The sequence below is a fragment of the Homo sapiens genome, chromosome 18, assembly GCF_000001405.40.
Source record: "Homo sapiens chromosome 18, GRCh38.p14 Primary Assembly".
Lineage (NCBI taxonomy): Eukaryota > Metazoa > Chordata > Mammalia > Primates > Hominidae > Homo > Homo sapiens.
This window is the reverse complement of record NC_000018.10, coordinates 21,447,555-21,472,527: the sequence shown is the minus strand read 5'-3', so window position 1 is coordinate 21,472,527 and position 24,973 is coordinate 21,447,555. Positions and strand designations below refer to the sequence as shown.

Here is a 24,973-nt window from a genome sequence, read left to right as displayed (position 1 = left end):
TTTATACAGTGACCATCTTGCACAGTATTTAGAGCACTGGCAGACCTCAGTGAATGTTGGATTTAGGTACCAACTTAATAAACTGAACTGAATTAGTCATGACTGCTATATTCTCAAAATATTAGAAACTATGAAACTTTGATACTGTATCATTATCTCTGTCTATAATAAAATTACTTCTGCACACATCTAAAGTAGTTCTAGGCACATAAAACTGTTGTTGAGATAATTGATTAAAAGAAGAAATCTTCCTTTAAATGAAGAGACTTTTATGAATTATATTGACTTAATTTTATCTGTCTTTTCTTTTAATATAAATGCAGCTCAGTGAACAATTACATGCAATTAGCATCTAGAATCTGTAATACTAACAGGCCTAAACGGTATAACAGAAAAAAAGTTTTACCATATGAAAAATTCTTTATACCAGAAAAGGTGGAGAGAAAGGTAATTTTGCTTTCAAACACTGTTCATTAGGAGGCTTTACTCACCATTTGTTTTCAATTCCCACCCAAATGTAGTCAAATTTTGCTGTGAATATTTCCAAAAGCAATCAATCAAACATTTAATTTGGCAGGTACTGTGATTTTTTGTGAAAGTGGATTGTGGCTGGGTGTGGTGGCTCATGCCTGTAATTCCAGCACTTTGGGAAGCTAAGACAGGCGCACCACTTGAGGCCAGGAGTTCCAGACCAGCTTGGGCAACATAGTGAGACCTTATCTCTATAAAAAATACAAACATTAGCTGGGTGTGGTGGCGCACGCCTGTAGTCCCAGCTACTCAGAAGGCTGAGGAGGAGAATCGCTTCAACCCAGGAGGCCGAGGTTGCGGTGTGCCGAGATCACACCACTGCACTCCAGCCTGGACAATACAGTGAGACTGTTTCAAAAAAAAAAAAAAAAAAAAAGAAACAAAAGAGAGGAAAAAACTCATTCAACCTTCGATAGCTATTTATTGATCATCTACTGTGTGCCATGCCACTTACTGTGCTAGGTCTGGGGATAGAGGGGAACAGGACTAAGATCTAAATCTCATGGAGTTCATGATGGAGAAGACAGAAAATTCTGATGAGTGTCATGATGGAGACAAGGTACTATGGGGTAGGCAGAGGAAGCAGGTAGAGGCATTAGACAAAAGAACCTACTTAATCTCTGAAGTGTCTGTTTCCTTATCTGTAAAATAGGGAGTGTAGTACCAGTTGCAAATTAGTCTGTATTTCCTGTCTATCCTTAGGAAATAAGCAGCGTGAGTTAAGCCATCCTAAAAAGATCATAAATAATTCATAAAGAGGATAAAATATACTGTATTGATAATTAAGAGTTTGCTGCCTTTCAAAACAAATGAAATAAAGACCGATTGTGGTTTTTTGGCTAAGGTCCAGTGTAAAGATGACTGTGTATCTTTGACAGGTCAATTCCATACATTCCCTTACTGGAAAAACAAAGTTCCAGAAATCTAAGAGGTTGTTTTCTTGGATATAACACAGTATATTAGTCCATAACTATGCAGGGTGCTGGCTCTGTCCTCAGCAGGCACATCAGAGCTACCTGATTGTTTTATTTGCAGCTGGGCATTTTTAGTAGATCATCCCTACTTTTAAATTGTGTTATAGACTTGCTTTTATTTTTGTTTTTTTTCCTCATAATGAAAGTGATAGATACTTATTTTGGAAAAACTGGAAAGTATAGAGATACATTTAAAAATAAAAATGTATCCATAATTCTTTAATTCACTGCTTCCATTTTTGTGCTTTCTTTCCTGTTTTTTTTCTATGCATATTGTGCAGCCTGACTCACATTTTGTAATTGTATATCCTGAGATATATATATTTGGCTTATAACTACAAAGAAACAAAACAAGTAAGAACAAAACTATCATTGTTTACTAATAATATGTCTGTGTAGAAAACACAAAATAATCTATGGATGAATCAATAAGAATTTAGTTGATAGATTCAAAATCAATTTACAAAAATCAGTTGCATTTCTGTACACAAGCAGTAGTTAGGAAATGTACTTTAAAAAAACATTTACAGTAAGTTCAAAAAATATTATGTATCTAGGAATAAATCTTACAAAACGTATGTAAGACCTTTATGGAGAAAATGATGAAACTATTAATTATGTTAAAAATGATCTAAATAGAGCTATATCATAAAATAAAAATTAAATTTTCCTCAAACTTATCTAGAGACTTAATGTAATTCCAATAAAATTACCTTTTTTAAAAAAAAATTTAAAGAGACAAGAGTCCTGTTCTGTCACCCACGCTGAGTGCAGTCGTGTGATCACATCTCACTGTGGCCTTGAGCTACTGGGCTCAAGCTATCCTCCTGCCTCAGCGTCCTGAGTAGCTGGGCCTGCAGGCATGTGCTAGCATGCCTGGCTAAGATTTTTTTTTTTTTAATAGAAATGGGGGTCTCACTATGTTGCCCACGCTGGTCTCAAACCCCTGGCCTCAAGCAGTCCTCCAGCTTTGGCCTCTCAAAGCACTGGGATTATAGGCATGATCCTAGCCCAACAGGTTTGATTTTTTAAATTTTACTTGAAAAAATGTTTTTAAAATGTATATGGCCGAGCAAAGAACCAAAAAGAGTCAAGATAGTTCTGAAGTAGAAAACATGGGAGAGGTTTGTCTCACTGGAAATTAAGAATTTCTTTGTTAATAAGACAGTGGTTTGGGCACAGAAGTATGAGTTAGTAATTGTGTAATTACCAGAAAAAAAGTCAAAGAAGTGAATATATTGTAGATAATGAGAACTAGGTTTCTTCCTGTCAGAGAAAGAAGTTACAAATAACTCATATTTTTAAACATAGATAGGTAGATATAGAAATAGAGAGGTATATGTGTGCATTCATGGGTTAATATACATACATATCATTTCCTAGCTCTGTCTGCTGAGTGGACTTAGGCACAATGACATCCTAGTAGCAATGGGCACACTTAACGCCCACATTTTCATTTCTAAATACCATTCTTCAATACAAGGAATCAGGTTTCTTGGAAAAAAGGTTAATCCCAGTGTTGAGGCAGAACAATACAAAGTAACCCTCGAATATCTTATGGTTTCAGAAAGTAAGAAAACAGTATGTGAAAATGGATGATAATATGTTAAAAAAAACCACAAGAGCCTGCCTGAAGGCGCCTCCAATGGCCAATGCTGGAAAATTTGAGCAAAATAATAATGATCATCACTATAGTGTTGGAAATAACCCATAGAATAAAATAAAAATGACCTGTATTTATAAATACATACATAAATGAGGAGGAACAGCTTTTCCTTACAGAATTTAATTAACAAACTCCTACTAGTAAATGTAGGGAAAAAATGACAGAAAATCATCAACTTGGAAATACTACAATAAATTGCAGGCAAGATCCACTAATGGATGCAAAAATTAGTGGTTGAAAGTTTGATGAAAACAGGATATTACCATTGCTCAAAATATTTCCACAAGATTTTAAATCACTTCCAAAGAAGAAACTAGTAACTTTACAATGCAGAAACTTGGCAGACATACCTTAATCAAGTGATCAAGGTTAACATCACCAATAATAAAACATCAACCTCATGTACTCCCTGACATGATGCAATGAGGACACAGTATCACTTTTGTGGTTTTCTTGCCAAAAACTCAAAACCTCAATTTAATTGTGAGAAAACTCAAACATTCCCTACACAAAACAATTGATTAGTATTCACTTAAGGTCATGAAAAGCCAGGAAAGACTGAAGAAATGTCATAGATTGCAGGAGATGAAGAGGACATAACTGAATGCAATGTGTGAACCTGGACTGGAACCTGGAACAGGAAAAACGACATGAAGAGAAAGATTGGTGAGATCTTTCGTTAACAGTATCATTCTGGCACTGAGTTCCTGCTCTGATAATTGTATTATAGTTAGGTAAGTTGTTAACTTTAAGAGAAACTGAGTGAAGGGTTTAGCGAACTCTATGATTTTTTAACAGCGTTTGTGATTGATATAAGCATGTATTCACATATAATTTACCCATTTATAATGTATAATTCAATGGCTTTTAGTATATATTCATGGAGTTGGACAACAGTCACCACAATTTTAAAACATTTTCATCACCTCCTAAGGAAACTCCATACATTTAACCCCTCAATTCTTCCCTCAACACCCCCATCCCTAGGCAATCACAGTCTACTTTGTGTCTCTATAGACTGGCTTATTCTAGACATTTCATGCAAGTGGGATTGTACAAGATGCAATCTTGTGTGATTGGCTTCTTTCACTTGGAATGATGTTTTCAAGTTTCATCCACGTTGTAGTATGCATCAATACTTTATTTCTCTTTATTGTTAATATTCCATTGTATGGATATACCACATTTTATTTATCCATTCATCACTTGGTGGATATTTGGGTTTTTCTGCTTTTTTGCTATTATGAATAATGTTGCTATGAACATTTGTGTTTTTGCATGCACGTATATTTTCACTTCTCTCTCATTTCGTATCTTTTTTTTTTTTTTTTTCAGATGGAGTCTCGCTCTGTTGCCCAGGCTGGAGTGCAGTGGCATGATCTCGGCTCACTGTGAGCTCCACCTCCCGGGTTCATGCCATTCTCCTGCCTCAGCCTCCTGAGTAGCTGGGACTACAGGTGCATGCCACCACGCCCAGCTAATTTTTTTGCGTTTTTAGTAGAGACAGGGTTTCACTGTGTTAGCCAGAATGCTCTCAATCTCCTGACCTTGTGATCCGCCCGCCTTGGCCTCCCAAAGTGCTGGGATTACAGGTGTGAGCCACTGCGCCCGGCTCATTTCATATCTTGGAGTGGAATTTCTGGATCATAGAGTAACTCTATATTTAATCATTTGGACAACCACTAGACTGTTTTCTAAAGCGGCTGTACCATTTTAAATTCCTAACAGCAGTGTACGAGGTTCCAACTTCTCCACATATTCAACAATTCTTACTACCTCTCTTTTATGGGTCATACTAGTGGGGTGTGTAGCAGTCTCTCATTGTGGTTTTGATTCGCATTTCTCCAATGGCTAATGAGGAACATCTTTTCATGTGTTCATTGGCCATTCATGTATCTCCTTTGGACAGATGCCTATTCAGATCCTTCATCCATATCTTAATTAAACAATTTGTCTTTTTATTATTGAGTTGTAACAGGTCCTTGAATATTGTAGATATAGTCCTGTATCAGATAAATGATTTCCAAATAGTTTCTCCCATTCTGTGGCTTGTCTTTTCACTTTCTTGATGAGGTCCTTTGAAGTACAAATATTTAGAATTTTGAGGATTGTCCAGTTTATGTATAAAAGTTTATGCTTTTGGTGTCATATACAAGAAATAATTATTAGTATTCCAAGGTCACAAATATTTATACCCATTTTCTTCTAAGAATTTTGTAATTGTAAATCTTACATTTAGGTCTTTGATCCATTTTGAGTTATTTTTTGTATGTGAGGTAGAGGTCAAACTTTATTCTTTTGCATGTGGATATTCAGTTGTCCCAGCATCATTCGTTGAAAAGACTGTTCTTTCTCTGTTAAACTGTCTTGGCACCCTTGTCAAAACTGAATTGATTGTAAATGGGAGGTTTATTTCTGGAATCTCAATACCATCTTGTTTATCTATATGTTTATCATTTTGTCATCACCACACTGTCTTGAGTACAGTAGCTTATATAGTTTACTGTAGCTTAAAATGGGGAAGTGAGAGTCTTCCAACGTTATTCTTTTTCAATAATGTTTTGGGTATGCTGGGTCCTCAAATTTCCACATGAATTTTAGGATCAGCTTGTAAATCTCTGCAAAGAAGCCAGCTGGGATTTTGGTAGGGGATGCATTGAATCTGTACACCAATTTGGGGGAATATGGTCATCTTAAAAATATTAATATATCTTCAATTTTATAAATATGTCTTTTCATTTATTTAGGTATTCTTTAATTTTGTTCAGCAATGCTTCATTATTTCAAAGCATAAGCTTTGCACTTCTTTTGTCAAATTCATTCCTATGTATTTTTTGGATATTCTTGTGATTAAAATTTTCTCAATTTCATTTTCAGATCCCTTGTACTATTTTTGCAACTTTTTTATGTCTAAAATTATTTTAAAATAAAAAAAATTTTAAGGAGGTATGCGCATACCAAATATTTACTGAAGCACATACATTGCAGGTGGGAGTGTAAATATAATCACTTTGGAAAAAATTTAGCATTCTTTGGTAAAATTTAAAATGTTCATAACCTGTGCTCCAACAATTCTATTCCCAGAGAAACTCTTATATGTGTACCAGCACTGTTTGAAGGAATCAAAAAACTAGAAACATTACAAATGTACATCAGTAGTAGAATTGTGCTTTTTAAAAGATATGTGATGTATTTATATAAAAGAATACTAAAAATCAGTAAAATGAATGAATTACAGCTACAAACAACAGCAGGAACAACTTCAGGGACGTAACATTAAGCATAAAATATAAATCACAGGAGAATACGTAGAATGTAGTTCCACTTAGGTTTAAAGTATATGAAATTAAGCACATATGGTTTAGAAGTTAAGGCATTATGGTAAAACTATAAATAAAAGCAAGGGAATGATAAACACAAAATTCAGTGTAATGGTTACTTTTGAAAAGAGAGGGACATTAGCATCAAGGAGGCGCACCAGGGAGGAACAGTCTTCCATGTTCCTTATTTTGGTGGGTAATGAGTGCTCATTCCATTGTGATTTTTAAAATATCCTTTATAAATTTGATCTATTCAATAATTAAAACTTCTTAAAAAGGGGGAATGTAAATTACCCATCCATGTTTTAGAAACTATTTGAGGACAATAATAACTCTACAGAATTCCATCTGAAAGATACATTATCAATGAAAAGCAACTATTTTAACTTCACATTCTATTTTGACTACTGCAGAAATGGAAAGACTAGTGTCATAAATACCTGTATACTCTTCAATTAGATTAATCAGTTGTTAATATTTTGCTACATTTGCTTTTCCTTTGTTACTTTTTATTGTTGTGTTTTTGCTAAATAATTTGGAAATAAGTAACGTATATCATAATACTTTACCCTTAAATCCTTCAATATGCTCTTCCTAAGAGCAAAGGCATTCTCCTGTATAACTACAATATCATTATTACATCTATGGAACTGAACCAACATCAGTATAATATTCTTTAATACACAGCCCATATTCGAGTTTCAGTAATTGTCCCAGAGCTGTGTTTTAACTTTTTATATTTTACTCAAGTATCCAATTAAGAATTAAGCATGGGTTTTGGGGCTGGGGAGATTAGGTTTATTAAAGGACACAAAATTTCAGTTAGGAGGAAAAGTTCAGGGAATTGATTGTACAACATGGTAATTATAGTTAATAATAATATATTTTACACTTGAAAATTGCTAAGAGAGTAGATTTTAAATGTTCTTCACCACAAACAAATAATAAGTATGTGAGGTAATGGATATGTTCATTAGTTTGATTTAGCCATTCCATAATGTTTACTTAACATGTCATGTTCTATATCAAAAATATATACAATCTTTGTCCACTAAAAAATAAATGAATTATTATACTTGGTTGTCATGTCTCTTTATTCTCCATGTTTAAAATAACCAACAGCCTCCCTGACTTTTCTTTTACCTTTTTTCTTTTTAATCTTTCATGACATTATTTTTTAAAATTCAAGCTAATTGTTTTGTAAGATGCCACATCATCTGGATCTGTCTGGAAGCTTCCTTGTGATCAGACTCAGGTTGAACAGTTTTGGCAATTATACCTCATAGGTGACATTGTGTGCTTTTTTGCACATAATGTCAGTTTGTCTCATAACTGGAGATGCCAAATTTTGATTACTTGGTTATGGCAGTGTCTACTGCCAGATCTCTCCATTGTAGAGATACCTTTCCCTCTTTGTTAGCTTTTGATCCATGGGATGATACTTTGAGACTTTGTGAATATTTGTTCCCTGACTTTTTTTTTTTTTTTTTTTTTGAGATGGTGTCTCTCTCTGTCCCCAGGCTAGAGTGCAGTGGCGCGATCTCGGCTCACTGCAACCTCTGCCTCTTGGATTCAAGTGATTCTCCTGCCTCGGCCTCCTGAGTAGCTGGGATTACAGGCATGTGCCACTACGCCCGGCTAATTTTTGTATTTATAGTAGAGATGTGGTTTTACTATCTCTACTATAAATGGTAGAGACCAGGATAGTCTCGATCTCTTGACCTCATGATCCGCCCCCCTCGGCCTCCCAAAGTGCTGGGATTACAGGCGTGAGCGACCGCGCCCGGCCCCCTAATGACATTTTATTCAATGGCTTTAGTATCCATCTTTGTCAGAATCAATAATTACACATTGGTACTACAAAGTGGGGATTTTCTAATTCCATCATTTTTCCTGCATTTATTAACTGGTACTCTTCTGTAGAGAAGGCATTCCCCTAACCTCTCACTTCTCCTGTTCCTTTTATTTTTTAGTATTGTTCTGGACTCATGGGTTTTAAAAAATTTTTCAATAGGTTGCAATCCATTGCTATCATTCCTTGTGACGCTAGAAATTTCCAAATTTAGCCATAAATCCCCTCAGGCAGGCTGCCATGTCCTTTTGGCATGCTCCAATCAATCTTTGCACTTTCTCACTTTCTGGCACAACAAAATATTCCAGAAATGTTTCCACTTCAGAGCTGGGACAGTGGGGAATGGTGTTACAAGCCCAAACCTAAATGCTCCATGTGCTCACAGATACGAGTTTGAGACCAGCCTGAGCAACGTGGTGAGATCTTGTCTCTAAAAAAAATTAGCCAAGTGTGGTGGCATGTGCCTGTAGTTCCAAATACTTGGGAGGCTGAGGTGGGAGGATTACTTGAGCCTGGGAGTTCGAGGCTGGAATGGGGCATGATCATGCCACTGCACTCCAACCTGGGCAACAGAGTGAGACCCTGTCTTTCAGTGGACAGGAGGATTTTTCTTTTTTCAAATTATGACTTCACCCTTTCATTGCCAATTTAAACCTAAAATGAATATTTCTTATTTTCCCATTTCACATTTGAAGTTCCCATCTTTCATTTGAGAACCCTGGTTTTCAACATTCAACTACTGCCGGGTGCGGTGGCTCACGCCTGTAATCCCAGCACTTTGGGAGGCCGAGGAGGGCGGATCATGAGGTCAGGAGATCGAGACCATCCTGACTCTCATGGTGAAACCCCATCTCTATTAAAAATACAAAAAATTAGCCAGGCGCGGTGGCGGGCGCTTGTGGTCCCACCTACTTGGGAGGCTGAGGCAGGAGAATGGTGTGAACCCGGGAGGTGGAGCTTGCAGTGAGCCGAGATCACGCCACTGCACTCCAGCCTGGGGGACAGAGCGAGACTCCATCTCAAAAAAAAAAAAAAAAAAAAAAAAAAAAAGAACCATTAAGCTATTTACCTATCGGCTCTCTCCTATGATATACACAAAATAGTTTTAAGATTATCAGTAATACTCCCAGTAACAAACATTCTAATTCAAATTCAAGATTTCTTTCCAATCTTTTTCCCCATAGGATATGTCACATTAACAACATACAGTAAGAAAACTGTTAAAAAATTACTTGAATTAATTCTTTTTGCTGTGTGGTTAATGTTATCAATGTGATATGCAGTTAGGTTCCTCCATTTGTTTGTATTAAATTTTAAGTTTGCCTTTCCCCATTATTTTATTTTTGAATATATAAATCATTTTCAAGGCTCAAAAGTCAAAATTACAGTCATTCCATACCTATCTCTTCCATCCCATAGATGAACTTTTTCATTAGGCCGGGTGCAGTGGCTCACACTGGTAATCCCAGCACTTTGGGAGGCCAAGGCGGGTGGATCACCTAAGGTCAGTGGTTCGAGACCAGCCTGGTCAACATGGCGAAACCCCGTCTCTACCAAAAATACAAAAATTAGCTGGGTGTGGTGGTGTGTACCTGTAATCCCAGCTACTCTGGAGACTGAGGCAGGAGGATCACTTGAACCTGGGAAGCGGAGGTCACAGTGAGCCAAGATCGTGCCACTGCACTCCAGCCTGGGTGACAGAGCAAGACTCCACCTCAAAAATGAAAACAAAACAACAAAACAAAACGAACAAATAAACTTTTTCATTAGCTTCTGACTTAACTTTCATGCTTTGTTTTGTTTTTCAAAAATAAGCAGAGGCAAGGAATCTGAAAATGTCAGAAGTGATGAGCAATGGCCAGTCTAAGAAACGTCACTTTTATTCTGTTTCCTTACTAACTTAATTTATCACAGTTCTATGGAATTAAACAAGTTTATTTTTCAAATGAATCATAAGCAAATTGTCACACCTTTCCAACTCCACAATAAAACATGGATATCAGCAGGGCGCACCTGCGGCACTGATGGTGGTACTAAGAGATCCAGGGCTGTGTCTAACTAAATACTAAATCTTACTTTTGACATGAGTGGGAACATAGGAGCACCAGTAACTCTTCTTCCTTCCTGACATCTTGCAACTCATTGAGTTCTAGAACAGAGCCAGTGGTGGTTGGGAGTCACCGTGTTCCCTAAAGGTTTAGATTAATAACCTTTTAGGGAACACATTAACTAATGTCTCTTACTCTTGGCCAAAGTAGATTTCTGGAACATGGGCTTTAATGACTAAATTTGTTTTTACCAGAGGGCCACGAAATCTTAAATATTATTTCTGTGTTTGCCTTTCAAAATAGATTTGAACTTAAAATTCAACAAAATGTTGAATATTTGTTCAGCAAATATTCATGCATAGTAAAATATTCATTTTACTTTCTGGCTGAAGAGAAAGATCATTAATAAACATGCAACTACAACACACAGTGTGTTGAGTGCCAGGGCTGGAGAACTGCAGTGTGTGCATGAGCACCACGCACACACACACAGTGGGAGAAAAGCTGGGAAGGAGCATGCCCTGGCAGCCAGAGGAACCAGAAGGAATCTAATGAAAGGAATGGAGGTCTCCAGTGTTGCCAAAAGCTCAAATAAGGACCGAAAAGGTCACTGGTGATACGGGCAAGGGTGCTGTGAGGGTGGGAGCCAGTTTGCCAGGTGTCGGGGAGTGACTGGGAGACAGAGGTGAGGATGGACAGCCCTCTTGGTTTGGCAGTTGGTAGGAGGAGGGGAGCTGGAGGGCCAGGTGGGATTAACAAAGTCTTGTTTTGTCTTTGAGAGAGTGGGGCAGGTTGACACTGATGGAACGAGACCCCAGAGAGAAAAAAGTTGAAGCAATGAGAGAGAAGAAAAGCAATAGCGTGAGGTTCCTCAAAGGTGGAAACTCTATCTGGGGTGAGGCGTGTGGGTCAGGCTGAAACAGAGCAGGGCCAGCTCCTCCACTGATCAGCAGGGAAGGGGACAGGTGTATACACAGTTAGGTTTCTAGATTCCCAGGCAGGAAGTTGTTGGTTTTTTTTCTTTTTCTTTTTTTTTTTTTGAGATGGAGTCTCACTCTGTCACCCAGGCTGGAGTGCAGTGATGCGATCTCGGCTCACTGCAACCTCTGCCTCCCAGGTTCAAGTGATCCTCCCACCTCAGCCTCCTGAATAGCTGGGATTACAGGTGCATGCCACCTTGCTTGGCTAATTTTTGTGTTTTTAATAGAGACAGGGTTTCACTATGTTGGCCCGGCTGGTCTCGAACTCCTGACCTCAGGTGATCCACCTGACTCAGTCTCCCAAAGTGCTGGGATTATAGGCATGAGCCACCATGCCTGGCCTAGAGGCAAGTTTTTATTTGAAGTTTTTGTTTGTTTTTTTCTTTGGGTGGGGTAGCATGGTCATTTGCTAAGAGAGAAGGATGAGGGATGAAGTCTGGGGTTTGAGGAGTGAAATGGAGTCCATGACAGCCACTGTGGAGAATGGGAGAGAGAACCAACTAAACAATCAAAAAAGGGCTATGCACAGTGGCTCACGCCTGTAATCCCAGCACTTTGGGAGGCCGAGGCGGGTGGATCACCTGAGGTCAGAAGTTCGAGACCAGCCTGGCCAACATGGTGAAACTCCGTCTATATAAAAAAAATTAGCCAGGTGTGGTGGTGCATGCCTGTAATCCCAGCTACTCAGGAGACTGAGGCAGGAGAATCGCTTGAACCCGGGAGGCGGAGGTTGCAGTGAGCCAAGTCTGTGCCATTGCACTCCAACCTGGGCAACAAAAGCGAAACTCTGTCTCAAAAATAAACAAACAAAAAAATTAGCTGGGCATGGTGGCACATGCCTGTAATCCCAGCTACTCGGGAGGCTGAGGTAGAAGAATTGCTTGAACCTGGGAGGTGGAGGTTGCAGTGAGCCGAGATCATGCCATTGTACTCCAGCCTGGGCCACAAGAGCGAAACTGCATCTCAAAACAAAAACAAAAACGAAAACAAAAACAAGACAAAACAAAACAAAACAAGAATTTAGTACGGCATCAACTGGAAAGGTTGATTTTTCCCCACACAGTGAGAACATGTTGTATATGTGTGGCCTGAAGGAGAGTGTGGCCTGAAATTGGGAACATCTGAATGGGTGATTCCAGGATTAGGCAGGGTCCAGGGTATGACGAGGCGGGCAGTCATTGTGGCTGTGGTGAAGCGGGGGGTAAATGTGCCTGAGGGTGAGAACGGAAGGTACTGAGAGCTGGGTATTGGCTGGGCCATCCCCCGGACAGCAATGCATGTGCTGGGTTATGCTTGCACAAAGCAATCTCTCGTGTTTCCTCTACCTCAGGACAGCAGTTTCCCAGTACATTCTTCCTGGGCACCTGTTCCCTGTGTCTTAGTCACTGAACAAAAAATACTGTCTTTTTTTCTGTTGAAATTTTAAGTGACCAACAAGGGAGTATAAGGTTGGTGAGACCAAAAAAATATGTCTTTATTTTTTTATTAAAATTTTTTTTTGTTATTTATTGTTATCTTACAGAAGAAAGCTCTGCCACAAGAAAATCTGTTTTTAGAAACTGAGAATGCCGGCCATGCGCGGTGGCTCACTCCTGTAATCCCAGCACTTTGGGAGGCCGAGGTGGGCAGATCCCCTTGAGGTCAGGAGTTCAAGACAAGCCTGGCCAACATGGTGAAACCCTGCCTCTATTAAAAGTACAAAAATTAGCTGGGCATGGTGGTGGGCGCCTGTAATCCAAGCTACTCGGAAGGCTGGGGCAGGAGAATCACTTGAACCTGAAGGGCGGAGGTTGCAGTGAGCCGAGATTGTGCCACTGCACTCCAGCCCGGGCAACAAGAGTGAAACTCCGTCTCAAAAAAAAAAAAAAAAAAAAAAAGTAAAGAAAAAGAAAAAGAAAAGAAAGTGGGAATGCCTTCCTCTCTCTCTTCACTTCCCCTGCAATGTCTACTGCTTCCTTAAAACTGCCTTATGTCCATTTGAATAGAGTAATCTCTATATCAGCAGACAAATACGTCTCTCTGGCTTTGTTATAATCATGCATGTGTTAAAGTATCAGATTTGTGTCATTCCCCTGACAGGATAAAACTTCCTTGCCTGGATACCTCCAGATCCGCTCCCATTTGCTAGGGCTCCCACCAACACCATTTTACAAGCAGGGAGGCAAAAAACGGACAGTCACTTCCTGTACTTCTCTCTCCCACCTTGAACTGAAATGGGCTTGCCTTTGGATTGCACCAGTATGCTAGTATTCTCATTCACAGAATGCGGGGTCCTCCGAATTAGAATTATGCTACCACTTCAGATTTCTAAAAAAAGGACACTAAAATAAAATAATTTCCTATAGTATAAAAATGCTCCTTCCCCACGATCACTCCAGCAGTTACAAGTCTACGTTACGCAAACTTAAAAGATGTTAAACCCGCTCCATTTCTTTTTTTTTAACCTTCAAATTCTGTCCATGATATTTTGTTTTGTTTTCCTTTTTCCTCCTCCCTCCCCTCTTTGCTTCATTTCTTCATCAGAATGTGTGCTGAGGTTTCAAATGCTTCACTTTAGTGCTGGATCTGCAACAACGTGATGGTTTCTATTTTCATCCTTTTACTTTCAGCCATGCAGGCACTGCCAAGGATGTGCCCTTTCTGCATACTCTGGCAGCTCTTCCCTGCCTGGGTGCTTTTCCTGGCAGACTCTGCTGGAATGCTTTCTTTAGTAAAGGAGGCAAATGGAACCAGGACACAGAGACCTTGGACACTGTTTCTCCTTCTGCCCATCTCTTTCTCCTTCTAGCCCTCCATTCAAACATCAGTTGAGCACCTGCTGGTGCCAGGCCCAAGAGAGGCATGAAACGAGGCACTAGACATGCAACAATAAAAAAACTGTCCTTGGGCCGGGCGCGGTGGCTCACACCTGTAATCCCAGCACTTTGGGAGGCCGAAACGGGTGGATCACCTGAGGTCGGAAGTTCGAGACCAGCCTGACCGACATGGAGAAACCCTGTCTCTACTAAAAATACAAAAAAATTAGCCAGGCATGGTGGCGCATGCCTGTAATCCCAGCTACTCTGGAGGTTGAGGCAGAAGAATCGCTTGAACCCGGGAGGTGGAGGTTGTGGTGAGCCAAGAACGCGCCACTGCACTCCAGCCTGTACAACAAGAGCAAAACTCGGCCTCAAAAAAAAAAAAAAAAAAAAACTGTCCTTGCTCTCAAGGTACTACCCTCTGTGATCTCAGGCAAACTAGGCTCTTCTCAATTCACATGATGACATATGAGGAAACTAAGTCAGATGATTTCTTAAAAACTTTCTGTTTTAACAGCTATGATTTTAAAGAGTTATTTTAATGGATGCTCTCCTGCTATTTATTCTACCCGGAGCAATTTCTCCGTACATTTTAACATGCTTCTAGTCCTTTCTCTTCTATCAATTGGTATGTGTTCCAAGAATATGAAGGTATTTAAATATCAAAATAAATACTTTTTTTGTAATTATGATGTGACTATACATTCATTAAGAATGATGCTCACAAAAGATGTTCATGACATGGAAAGAGGTACACACTGTAATGCCAAGTGAAAAAAACAGAGGTAGGGAAGAGAGGTGGAACACTAGGTATTAAGTTATTTGTTAATGCCAACATTTTAACAGTGGTTACCCTTGAATGGTAGGATTATAAATGTTTAAAGGTTTCTACTTTATTTTTTAAAAATAAGGCATACCATAATCATGTTTTTATAACAAAATAAAGGTATGTTTAAATATACAGAAGTGATTGTTTTTGCAGCAAAAATTTCAGTATGTATGCCAAAGCCAGATGTGAATAATTCTAAAAATATGCTTTGCTTTGAGTGTGCCAAACATGTCTATTACAATGATTTTTTTTTTTCTGGATTCTAAGCTTACATAATTGGTCAAATTCTGGTACCTTTTTGAGAGGTGATAATCTTAAAACACTTTAGAAAAATCTGAGGGCATTGAGAAGAGAAAGGAAAAAACCTGCACAATTTATTCATCTGTCAAAAATGTAAGGCTTTATTTAGGAGCTTGCATTTATTAGGAAAGGTGAAAGTGCAGGTCACTGAGAGGTTATTTCAGGAAAAGGCTCTGCAGATGATTTCGTCACTTCAAACAGGTGCCATGATGTGTTTGCTCAAGCACAATTTGGGATATCAGATCACAAACTCAGGGAGGCCACAAATGCCAAATGGTACAAGTAAAATACTTAAAAGACAAGGCCCTTCCTCCATGTTACGAAAGGAAAAAAATCCATATGAAATAACAAAAAATCTGGCTACTGCTTGGTGTGACCGACAACAACCCACTCCCCATACTGGAGAAGGGGCAGGAAAAATAAATGCAGAAAGAAGCCGGTAGCTGAGAGAGAGAACTCACTTTGGTTTTTGGGAGAGCCATGAGAGAAGGCATTTGACCTTTTCCAGCTCATCACCTACAGGTCGATATTTCCAACAAGTCATTTTGTAACCTGTCATTCCAAAACTGAGAGGCTAAAAAGAAGACTGCACTGTCAACCAGACACTTGGGACTCCAGAAGGTGTGGACAAAACTTCACATGTCAGTCACAGCCACCAAGAGGGGTTAAAGAGATAGAAACAGGGAAAAATGTACTGTCAGTCAGCTCATTTGGCCTCTGGAACAAGAGGCCTTTTTAAAAACTTTTAATTTCAAATTTTGTGGGTACACAGTAGGAGTATATATTTATGGAGCATATGAGAAAATTTGATACACGCATGGAATGTGTAATAATCACATCAGGGTAAATGGGGTATCCATCCCCTGAAGTATTTATCCTTTGTGTTACAAACAATCCAATTACAATACTCTTTTAGTTATTTTTAAAAGTACAATCAAGCAAGATTTCTCACTGAGCCATGCTACTCAAAGTGTGGTCTTCTGACACTGGCTTCACTATAAGCTTGTTAGAAATGCAGAATCCGGGCTGGGTATGGTGGCTTATGCCTGTAATCCCAGCACTTTGGGAGGCTGAGGCTGGTGGATCACTTGAGGTCAGGGGTTCAAGACCAGCCTGGCCAATATAGTGAAACCCTGTCTCTACTAAAAATACAAAAATTGGCTGGGAGTGGTGGTGCACACCTGTAATCTCAGCTACTTGGAAGAGGCTGAGGCAGGAGAATTGCTTGAACCCAGGAGGTGGAGGTTGCAGTGAGCCAGGACTGTACCACTGCACTCCTGCCTGGGCAACAGAGTGAGACTATGTCTCACAAAAAAAAAAAAAAAAAAAAAAAGCAAATGCAGAATCCGGAGCACAACCCAGACTCACTGAAGTGGAATCTGCATTTTAGCAAGATCCCCAGGTGATCTTTATGTAGGATAAAATTTGAGAGGCACAATATGACAGGTATGAACATATAAACCACATTTTAAGCACTTCTGGATTTTTCTGCTTCCTACCTGTTTTTAAATATATTGAAAGTAAAATTCTTTGTTTTTTTGTTTTTTTTTTTTGGGAGAGGGTCTCACTCTGTCACCCAGACTGGACTGCAGTGTCTTGGTTCACCACAGCCTCTGCCTTCCGGGTTCAAGTGATTCTCCTGCCTCAGCCTCCCAAGTAGCTGGGATAACAGGCATGTGCCACTACCACCTGGCTAATTTTTGTATTTTTAGTAGAGACGGGGTTTCACCATGTTGGCCAGGCTGGTCTTGAACTCCTGACCTCAAGTGATCCACCCGCCTTGGCCTCCCAAAGTGCTGGGATTACAGGTGCGAGCCACCGCCCCCGGCCGAAAGTAAAATTCTTTACTGTGGCAAAAACAGTCATCTTCCAGATCTAAAATCTGCGTGTGTGTGTGTGTGTGTGTGTGTTTTCCTCAGCTAAGGTAATCAGAAGCAACTTGACATTTATAATTTCGTTTTCAAACCTAGTTTACAAAGGCAAGCATTTTACAGCTGTTTCAAGTTTCTAAATTCCTTATAACTTCTTGTAATTCTAATCAAATTTTATTTCTGAAAAGGGATATTATTTACCACAGACTTGTAACATTTTTTTTTTTTAGACTTGTAAAATTTTTGCTCTCTACCTTTTCACATTTTCTGGGAAAAACATTTTTTTTTCTTTACACTTAAAGTTATTAGAAATAACGCTAACCTTTTTTTCTTAAAGAACGTCATTGCTGACATGGGGGATGGTGTTCTGGTTTCCAGGTCCCAGACGTGCTGTTAATGTGCTAGATGGCCAAGAATCCACCTATGCAAATGAGGCCTGCAGGTGGGAGGAGTTCAGGTGGCACAGACGCCATCAACCCATGCAGGGCCATCCTCGCCTTGAGAAAATTTCTCTTCATCCATAAATGACCAGATTCTAGTCCCACAGATTACATCATGAACTTAATGATACCTGGCAAACATGCACAACAATTTACCCTTGACCTTGAGGGAAAAAGGACAGAGTACTTTGAGGGAAAACTTCAGATAAACCCAAAATAACAAAGTGCTTTTATGATTTTTATTACTGAAGAAGGTTTTAAGCATCCTCTAGACGTTTGGATTAAGCAAAAGAAAGAGGCAGAGGGGATCTGAAGCTGGATCTAGGTGGGCTCCTCTTTGAAAGTTCACTCTTACCTGATTGTCGAATCCGCTGAAGAGTTTGCTGAACCAACACCTCCGATCTGGGAACAATGATGATGAAGTCTACTTTGCTGAAGTGACCGAGGTCCAGGCTCTGGCTGCCACTGTCCGCTATAGCACACACCTGGGATAAGAGTTTTCTGGCAACTGTTAGCTGCGGTTGATAAATGTGGAAGGTTTCATTATCTAAATCTAAAATTTAAAGAGAAGTCATAAGAACAAGGTTAATTTACTTCCCTAATGGCCACTGTGAATCTCTATGAGGACACATACCACACAGACGGTAATGTAATACACTCTCACTACGAATTCTCACCTGCTATTTGCACTCTCTATTGAGTTTTAATAGATTTGCCTATTTTCCCTGAAACGTGGATGAGAGGATGTGCTCAGGAGTGGATGCTGCAGTTTTGCAAATGTATTATTTAAAAATTGATTGATTATCTCACAAATGCCTAATTCAACACCCCTATCCCAACCCAGAAGTGGAGGAGACCGACTACACTGTCGCAGCTGGAGCCAAGACTCATCCCTGGAAAGGGTAGCATTTCCAGTTTTCTTTAGAAATATCAGCACAGGCCAGTTCTCCAGCCCCGACCCAGTTCAAGGAAAGAGGGGATGCCATAATGATCATGATGCTGAGTTCCCCTGAGCTTTTCTGGAAGGCACTACAGTAAATATTTCCTCTTTAGCAAGTCAGTTGCAACATGGTCGGAAATTCCCTCCCCAGTCACTACATAACGTGGGTCATGGAGACACGACCTTCACCTTTCTTCCCACTGGACTCCACTTTGCCAGTGCTGTGACCTAGCAGGTCTAGGTGGTTGTGGCCAGCTCCAGTGCTGATGCCTGGACTATCTGAAGACACCTGACTCATGACATAGCCAGCTGGCCACTCAGCAGGTGACATATTACAAAAACATTTCCCAGATACTCTAAGCAGGTCAGTAGCTTTTTATTGCAAGTATAATCAAGCGATCAATCTTTCTTATACGTGCATGCACATCCACACACACAATGAAAGAAGTTTAGTCAGCTAAACACGTGAGCAGGCAACATCCAATGCTTCTTTAAAGCACTGGTTATTATCAGGAACACATGTGGCAGTTTAACTGCAACAGGGCCTAATTAACCTGTGCTAATTAATGTTTTCTAAAATCAAATGCAGCCGAGGCAAAGACAGCCGTCAACATATCCCAGTTACCATGGATACTGACAGCAAGTGGAGATTTAGATGGATGGTCTCCCTAGTAGTTGAGAGAATCCACTGGAAAAGCCCAAACCTGCAACTTTAAATAGAAGCCCAAATAGTCTTTGTACCACAGACTACTAATCAAAATATATCTGTCTTTTAATACAGTTAGGCTGTTATTTCAAAAACATCTTTAAACAAGGTTTTTAAACAGGGAACCAAGAATGTACTCCGGAATCTGTAAGTCCTCTCAGAATGTTTAAATTCTAAATGTGTTAACAATTCAAAACAGTTAATATAAACACATTTTAGATCATCCGGATCATCACTTTATTACCAAATACCATTGAGAAGTCAAAACATTTTACTGCCTATATTTGCATTTGTTTTAACAACAGAGCTGACTGCCAAGCCATGCTACTTTTATTGCCTGAGACAATCCTAATATATAAATGATACATTCCTATCAAGTGGGGGCCAAGTGGCTGTCAGCAGCAGCTTATATGGGTCTGTCTCCCAACTATCCTTTCTCCTGTTCTTTTTTCTGTCCTGTCCTATGTCATTCCTGTCAATCAGTGAATTGGGGAAGAAATCTGAACCCAAATGAATCCAGTCTTAATGATCAGACTCCTCATCCCTGACACTCCCACTTTGAGCCCCTGAAGCTTGTTGTAGGGCAGATGACATGTTGGTAGCGCTGCTCTATCTGCCAATAAAGCCTCACTATCCCTGAGATAATGTGTGTTTTACAAGTCAGACAGGAAGTGAAGGAGCAGGAGCTGGGGACCCTGCACTGCCTGTAGTCTGACTCTTTCAGACGGTTTTTTGAAGTCCTCTGGGCACAGCTGGTGGAGCTAAGGAAAATGAGCCAATGTCCTGGAATCTTTCAGAGAAAAAAGAGAGAGTGCTTAAGATAAAGTCTTTGACTTTGATTTTCATTCCAGAAGACTTTTACTAGGAACAAAGCCTTTGATCCAGGCCACATGGGAAAGCATTTTTAATTTCAACCAGGTTTATCATGTAGACAATCAGGAAAAGGCTGTTGTGGTCTGTGACTTGAAGAATCCTCAAAACCCTTAGAATGACTTAGTTTTTACAATGTCTGTCCCAAGGACTGACTTCCTCCTCTTGGTCTGAGATGACATTACCCAGGTTTTGTGTGGGAATCATAGCAGCAGCCTCCTGGGGTGACACACATTCATTAAGGTCTCCATCGAAAGGGGTAACCACACTGTCTCCTCTTCTTTGTTGCATTTTTTCCAGCAGCTTGTCTAGGTCATCGCCTATTACAAAATAGAGATAAGAAGGTTACAAGGAAGGATATGTTTGTTTCATTTTTATTAACTGCCCAAGTTGGGCAGTTAGGCTGTTCTCAGTAGATTTGTTGGTCAGCCAGCAATTCATATCAGCATTTACACTTGGCCATCTTTATAGTATACTGGTGTCTCTATATCAAGAACTACTCTCATTGATATAGTGCTTATAATTTACATGCTTTCACATGTTGTATCTCTCTTGACTTCCCTAATACTCAAAAGCAGACAGAATGGGATTAGAAAACTGAGTTCCAGGCTGGGCGCAGTGGTTCATGCCTGTAATCCCAGCACTTTGGAAGGCCAAGGCACAGGAGGATTGCTTGAGGCCAGGAGCTGGAGTCCAGTCTGGGCAACAAAGGGAGACCCAGTCTCTACAAAAAATTAAAAAATTAGCCAGGCATGGTGGCACATGTCTGTAGTCCAAGCTGCTTGGGAGGCTGAAGTGGGAGGATCGCTTGAGCCCGTGAAGAGGGGTGGTGTCAAGCAGTGAGCTATAATCACGCTACTGCACTCCAGCCTGGGCGATAGAGTGCAACACTGTAAAAAAAAAAAAAAAAAAAAAAAAAAAAAAGGAAGGAAGGAAAGAAGGAAGGGAGGGAAGGAGGAAGGAAGGAACGAACGAACAAACCGAGTTCCAGGGAGAGAGAAACTCGCCCAAGGTCACTCAACAAGGTTGTGGCTGAGCTGAGACTTTTGAATCCAGTACCAATGGGCCTTCCTCTAGACCCCCTTACTGCTTCCTGTGGTGTTAGTGACAAAATACTTAGGATAAACCATTTCAAATGAAAGATCAGCTGGCAAGCTTGAGCTCCACACTCATCTTGACAGGCTAAGATTTAAACTCAGAAAATCATACAACTAGGGGCTGCCAGTGTTGCCAAATCTTACAACCACTCACCTAATGATGTGGTTTTGAAATGTGATGCCAGGAAACTGACCTTTCCTGTGATAAGCTCATAACTAATTTCTTTCAAAAACTCACTTGTGGTGAGCATGCTCTCTGCCAGAGCTCGGGACTGGTGCTGACCTGCAGGATGGAGGAGAGAAGAGAAGACTCATCAACAGAACAAATGTTGCTGGAACATTACTTATAATGGCAACAATTGGAAACAATCAAAGGATGTCACTATAGGGACTTGGGTTAAGAAAATTATGACACATCAAAAGGTATGGACAATTATATAGCATTTGAAATATCAATTCTGACTCTAGACAGAAACAGAAATGTTTATAATACAGATGATCAGGGGAACAAAATGATGTACCTTATGTAACTGAAAATATGCACGTTTGTGTTTAATGACTAAGGAAGGTCCCTGTCCCCGCCAGGGGCTGTGAGCAACACCATGGCTGCCCCAGGGCTGGCCAATTGGGCAGATGCCCAGGGGCTGAGAACATGGGGGAAAAACAGACTAGGGAAGAGTATGAAAAACCTTATAAAAATTGTGCTTGCATGGTTATAATGAATTTGCTTTAAAAATATAAACATGTTTTTTACAAATAAAAATGAAAAAATATTAATGTATCACACTGATGAAGCTTTCTGGAAATACATGTAGCACAGAAAAATGGGCAGACAGGTTTTGTCAAAGTGAGGGGGTTTTCTTAGCTTCTTTGCTGGAAGAGGTGAGAGCCATTCAGTACAGAGAAGAGAGAAGCAAAATGTAGTCCAAATGGCTACCCAAGAGGGTGCCTGATAGAAAATCTGCACAGTGCAAAACAAACAAACAAAAATCCCCTCCCACCCCCCAATTTTGTAGTGTACCAACTTTCTGAATCTTTTCTTTAGAGACTATGTTACAATATTAAATAGACTGTTCAGTGAGAAGGGGAATATATGAGCTAATTTTCTGGCAAATTCGATTAACTGGCTTAGGCCACCTGTGGCACTGGCTTTATCACATGCTAGAGTAGTAACATTTCCAAAATCTTTAAAGGACAGCAGTTACATGAGACAGGGGTATCTGTTACTAGGGAGAGCTTTGAAATAATGCTCCCACAACCAGCTGACAGGGGCACCAGCCAAACTGAGGGCTACACAAAACCTGATCTGAGAAGGAAAGGGAAAGTTAAAATTAGGAGGATGAGCCCAAGCTCCAGCAATTAATCAGAGGTTGATTATGTGGATGCCTGAAACACATAACACACATTTTTAAATGGAAAAATGGTCGAATGAATTGATTAAACAAACAAAAAACAAAAAAATTACTCACCTAACACTACCACACAAAATTCATTTCCTCTGATTTTCGATGCACAAATTACCACCACATAATCTGGCAGCCTTTGATAGTGTCTCATTTCACTGAGAGTCCTTAAGGTCTCTGAAATGCCCTCCGCCAAAGAGTTCTGGGTCACAACCACATGAACCAAGTCTTGAGATACGCTGGCAATTAATCTAGCAAGCCAGGGGAGTTGTCCTGGTGACACAGGGACACACTGAGCACCTATCTGCAGGGCTCTTTCTCTCAGAGTAAATTCTTGCATAGCTTTCAGCATAATTTGCTCAAATTCTTCCCTGAGAGGTACCTGATCAGGACCTATATAGAAGAGAATTACAGCTGGAATTTAAAGAATCACAGGGAGGAGAGACACACACACCCATATGCTTTCCTGCAGTCCTTCTCAGCCCATCATACATACTCCAACTAGAAAATAACCTCTTTTTCTTGGAGTGGTCACAAGTATAGAGTCCCTACTAATCATTCCCTGTTGGAAATTATTTTTCTTTCTGCCTCAATCTTTGTAAAAAAAATCAGGCTTCTGTTTTTCTGTATTCCTGATCTCTTTAAAAGAGGAGGTACCAAGAGAAACCATTAATTCCACTGTATGCCCTCGGAGCTGGTCCTTGCACATGGCATATTTCTTGACCTATTAAGCTTGGCATTATAGAAATTGTTAATGACTAATGAAAAAAGAAGCCAACCTACTGGTATATAACCGATTTTAAGTTTCAGTTCTCATTTTAGTCATAGGCATTTTGGAAAACATTTTAATGTGTTGCTTCTAAGCCTAATTTTGAGAATACTGTGCAGGAAATGAAGTTTAATTATTTTTCACTCCCAAGTGATATTGGAGGCAGCCTCACATTTTTCCCAGATAGAGAACGCTTTCATGATCTAGTTATTCCCCAGCATTCTGGATTGTTAAATATGCCATTTGGCCCTCTTCTCCAACCAGTTGGAGCAAAACTTATACTGCTGACCTGTGGCCCCTGGAATCAGGGGGATTTTCTTCCTTATTCTCTTTAGAAACTCAACCAGCCTTTAGAACAAAATAAGCAAGTCAATGTTTGGTATCCAAATGACACAAATGAACTAAGATTTCAACATTTAGTTTAAATTGAAAGCAGTGAGAATACAGTCACTCCCTCTATTCAATCATTTCTTTTGCTGTGTGAACCCAATATTTGAAACTCAGGCTCCCATAAACCAGCTCAGACACCTCAGTGTCTGTGATCTGAGACCAAGCAACAGCCCCAGAACCCATGGCTAAAAGCCCCTTATGGAAGAACAAAGGGGTGATGGGCTGGACTTCTGCATGAGAAGGAGGCACCACAAATGAGTCAGACCCATTCCTTCCTCTAATAGGGATCTAAGTGGTTTCTCTGGCCCTTCCCATCTTTTCTGGGAAAGTAAGAAAATGAGGTGTTTAGTAATGCTCTTCAGATATGGAAAATTAAATAAAATCTTATACATTATAAAAACAACAATTTTAATTGGAGAAAACAGTTTTTCCAGGATTGGGTGGAGGCCAGGGAGAGGTAGGAGAGTAGAATTCTCATAAACAGATTTTTCTCCTCTATACATGGAAACAGGGCAAGAAAATGGTAATGTATACATTATGTCTGTGTTTCTTCTATGCTGCTGCTGCTGCTTTTTTTTTTTTTTGAGACAGTTTCCCTTTGTCATCCAGGCTGGAGTGCAGTGGCGCGATCTCGGCTCACTGCAACCTCCACCTCCTGGCCTCAAGCAATTCTCCTGTCTCAGCCTCCGGAGTATCTGGGATTACAGGCATGCCCAACATGCCTGGCTAATTTTTGTATTTTTGATAGAGATGGGGTTTCACCATGTTGGCCAGACTGCTCTCAAACTCCTGACCTCAAGTATCCACCCTATTCAGCCTCCCAAAGTGTTGGGATTACAGGTGTGAGCCACCGTGCCTGGCCTCTACTGTCCTCAAAAAACTTGCTGGGAATGTGGAGGGATGCTCTTTAAAAAAAAATCACCTAGGAGCCACCAAGATGTCTGATCTTCATTCAGCTTTATCAAATTGGCATCATGGTTAATTGTCACTAGGTAAACACTTTTCAGTGAGCTCAAAGTGGATAGAAGGTGGTCATTTATTTAACGCTTTCTTCCACCAGAACATGACAGCTGAAAAGCAGGTGGCCCTGGCTGTCTCCAATTCCCTACCGTCTTTCATTAACAACCTGAAAGCTCAGGGGCCTGGTTAGTAGTCCATAAGACTCACTCCAGGACTAAGTAACATATTC

At 40.0% G+C, this 24,973-nt stretch overlaps 1 protein-coding gene, 1 long non-coding RNA gene and 1 other non-coding gene across 31 annotated transcripts in view; 2 read left to right on the top strand and 1 right to left on the bottom strand.

Annotated features, from left to right (window-relative positions):
- GREB1L (GREB1 like retinoic acid receptor coactivator) overlaps positions 1-24,973 on the bottom strand; it is a 283,881-nt gene that overhangs the window by 53,585 nt on the left and 205,323 nt on the right. For 16 of the 29 annotated variants that reach the window (XM_006722547.4, XM_011526179.4, NM_001410867.1 and 13 more), the window contains 4 exons: positions 22,692-23,018; positions 21,377-21,505; positions 20,311-20,445; positions 17,965-18,162 (listed from right to left, as the gene is read on the bottom strand). In XM_006722547.4, coding sequence (XP_006722610.1) covers positions 17,965-18,162; positions 20,311-20,445; positions 21,377-21,505; positions 22,692-23,018 — 789 coding nt within the window. The remainder of the gene's footprint in view (positions 1-17,964; positions 18,163-20,310; positions 20,446-21,376; positions 21,506-22,691; positions 23,019-24,973) is intronic. The other 13 variants (NM_001410868.1, XM_017025994.2, XM_017025996.2 and 10 more) reach the window with 3 other exon arrangements.
- GREB1L-AS1 (GREB1L antisense RNA 1) overlaps positions 21,481-24,973 on the top strand; it is a 71,004-nt gene continuing 67,511 nt past the window's right edge. The window contains exon 1 of the long non-coding RNA NR_187982.1: positions 21,481-21,645. This is a non-coding gene — a long non-coding RNA (GREB1L antisense RNA 1). The remainder of the gene's footprint in view (positions 21,646-24,973) is intronic.
- Positions 21,772-21,875, top strand: LOC124900410 (small nucleolar RNA SNORD23). The gene has a single exon (XR_007066482.1). It is a non-coding gene; the product is annotated as a small nucleolar RNA SNORD23 (small nucleolar RNA).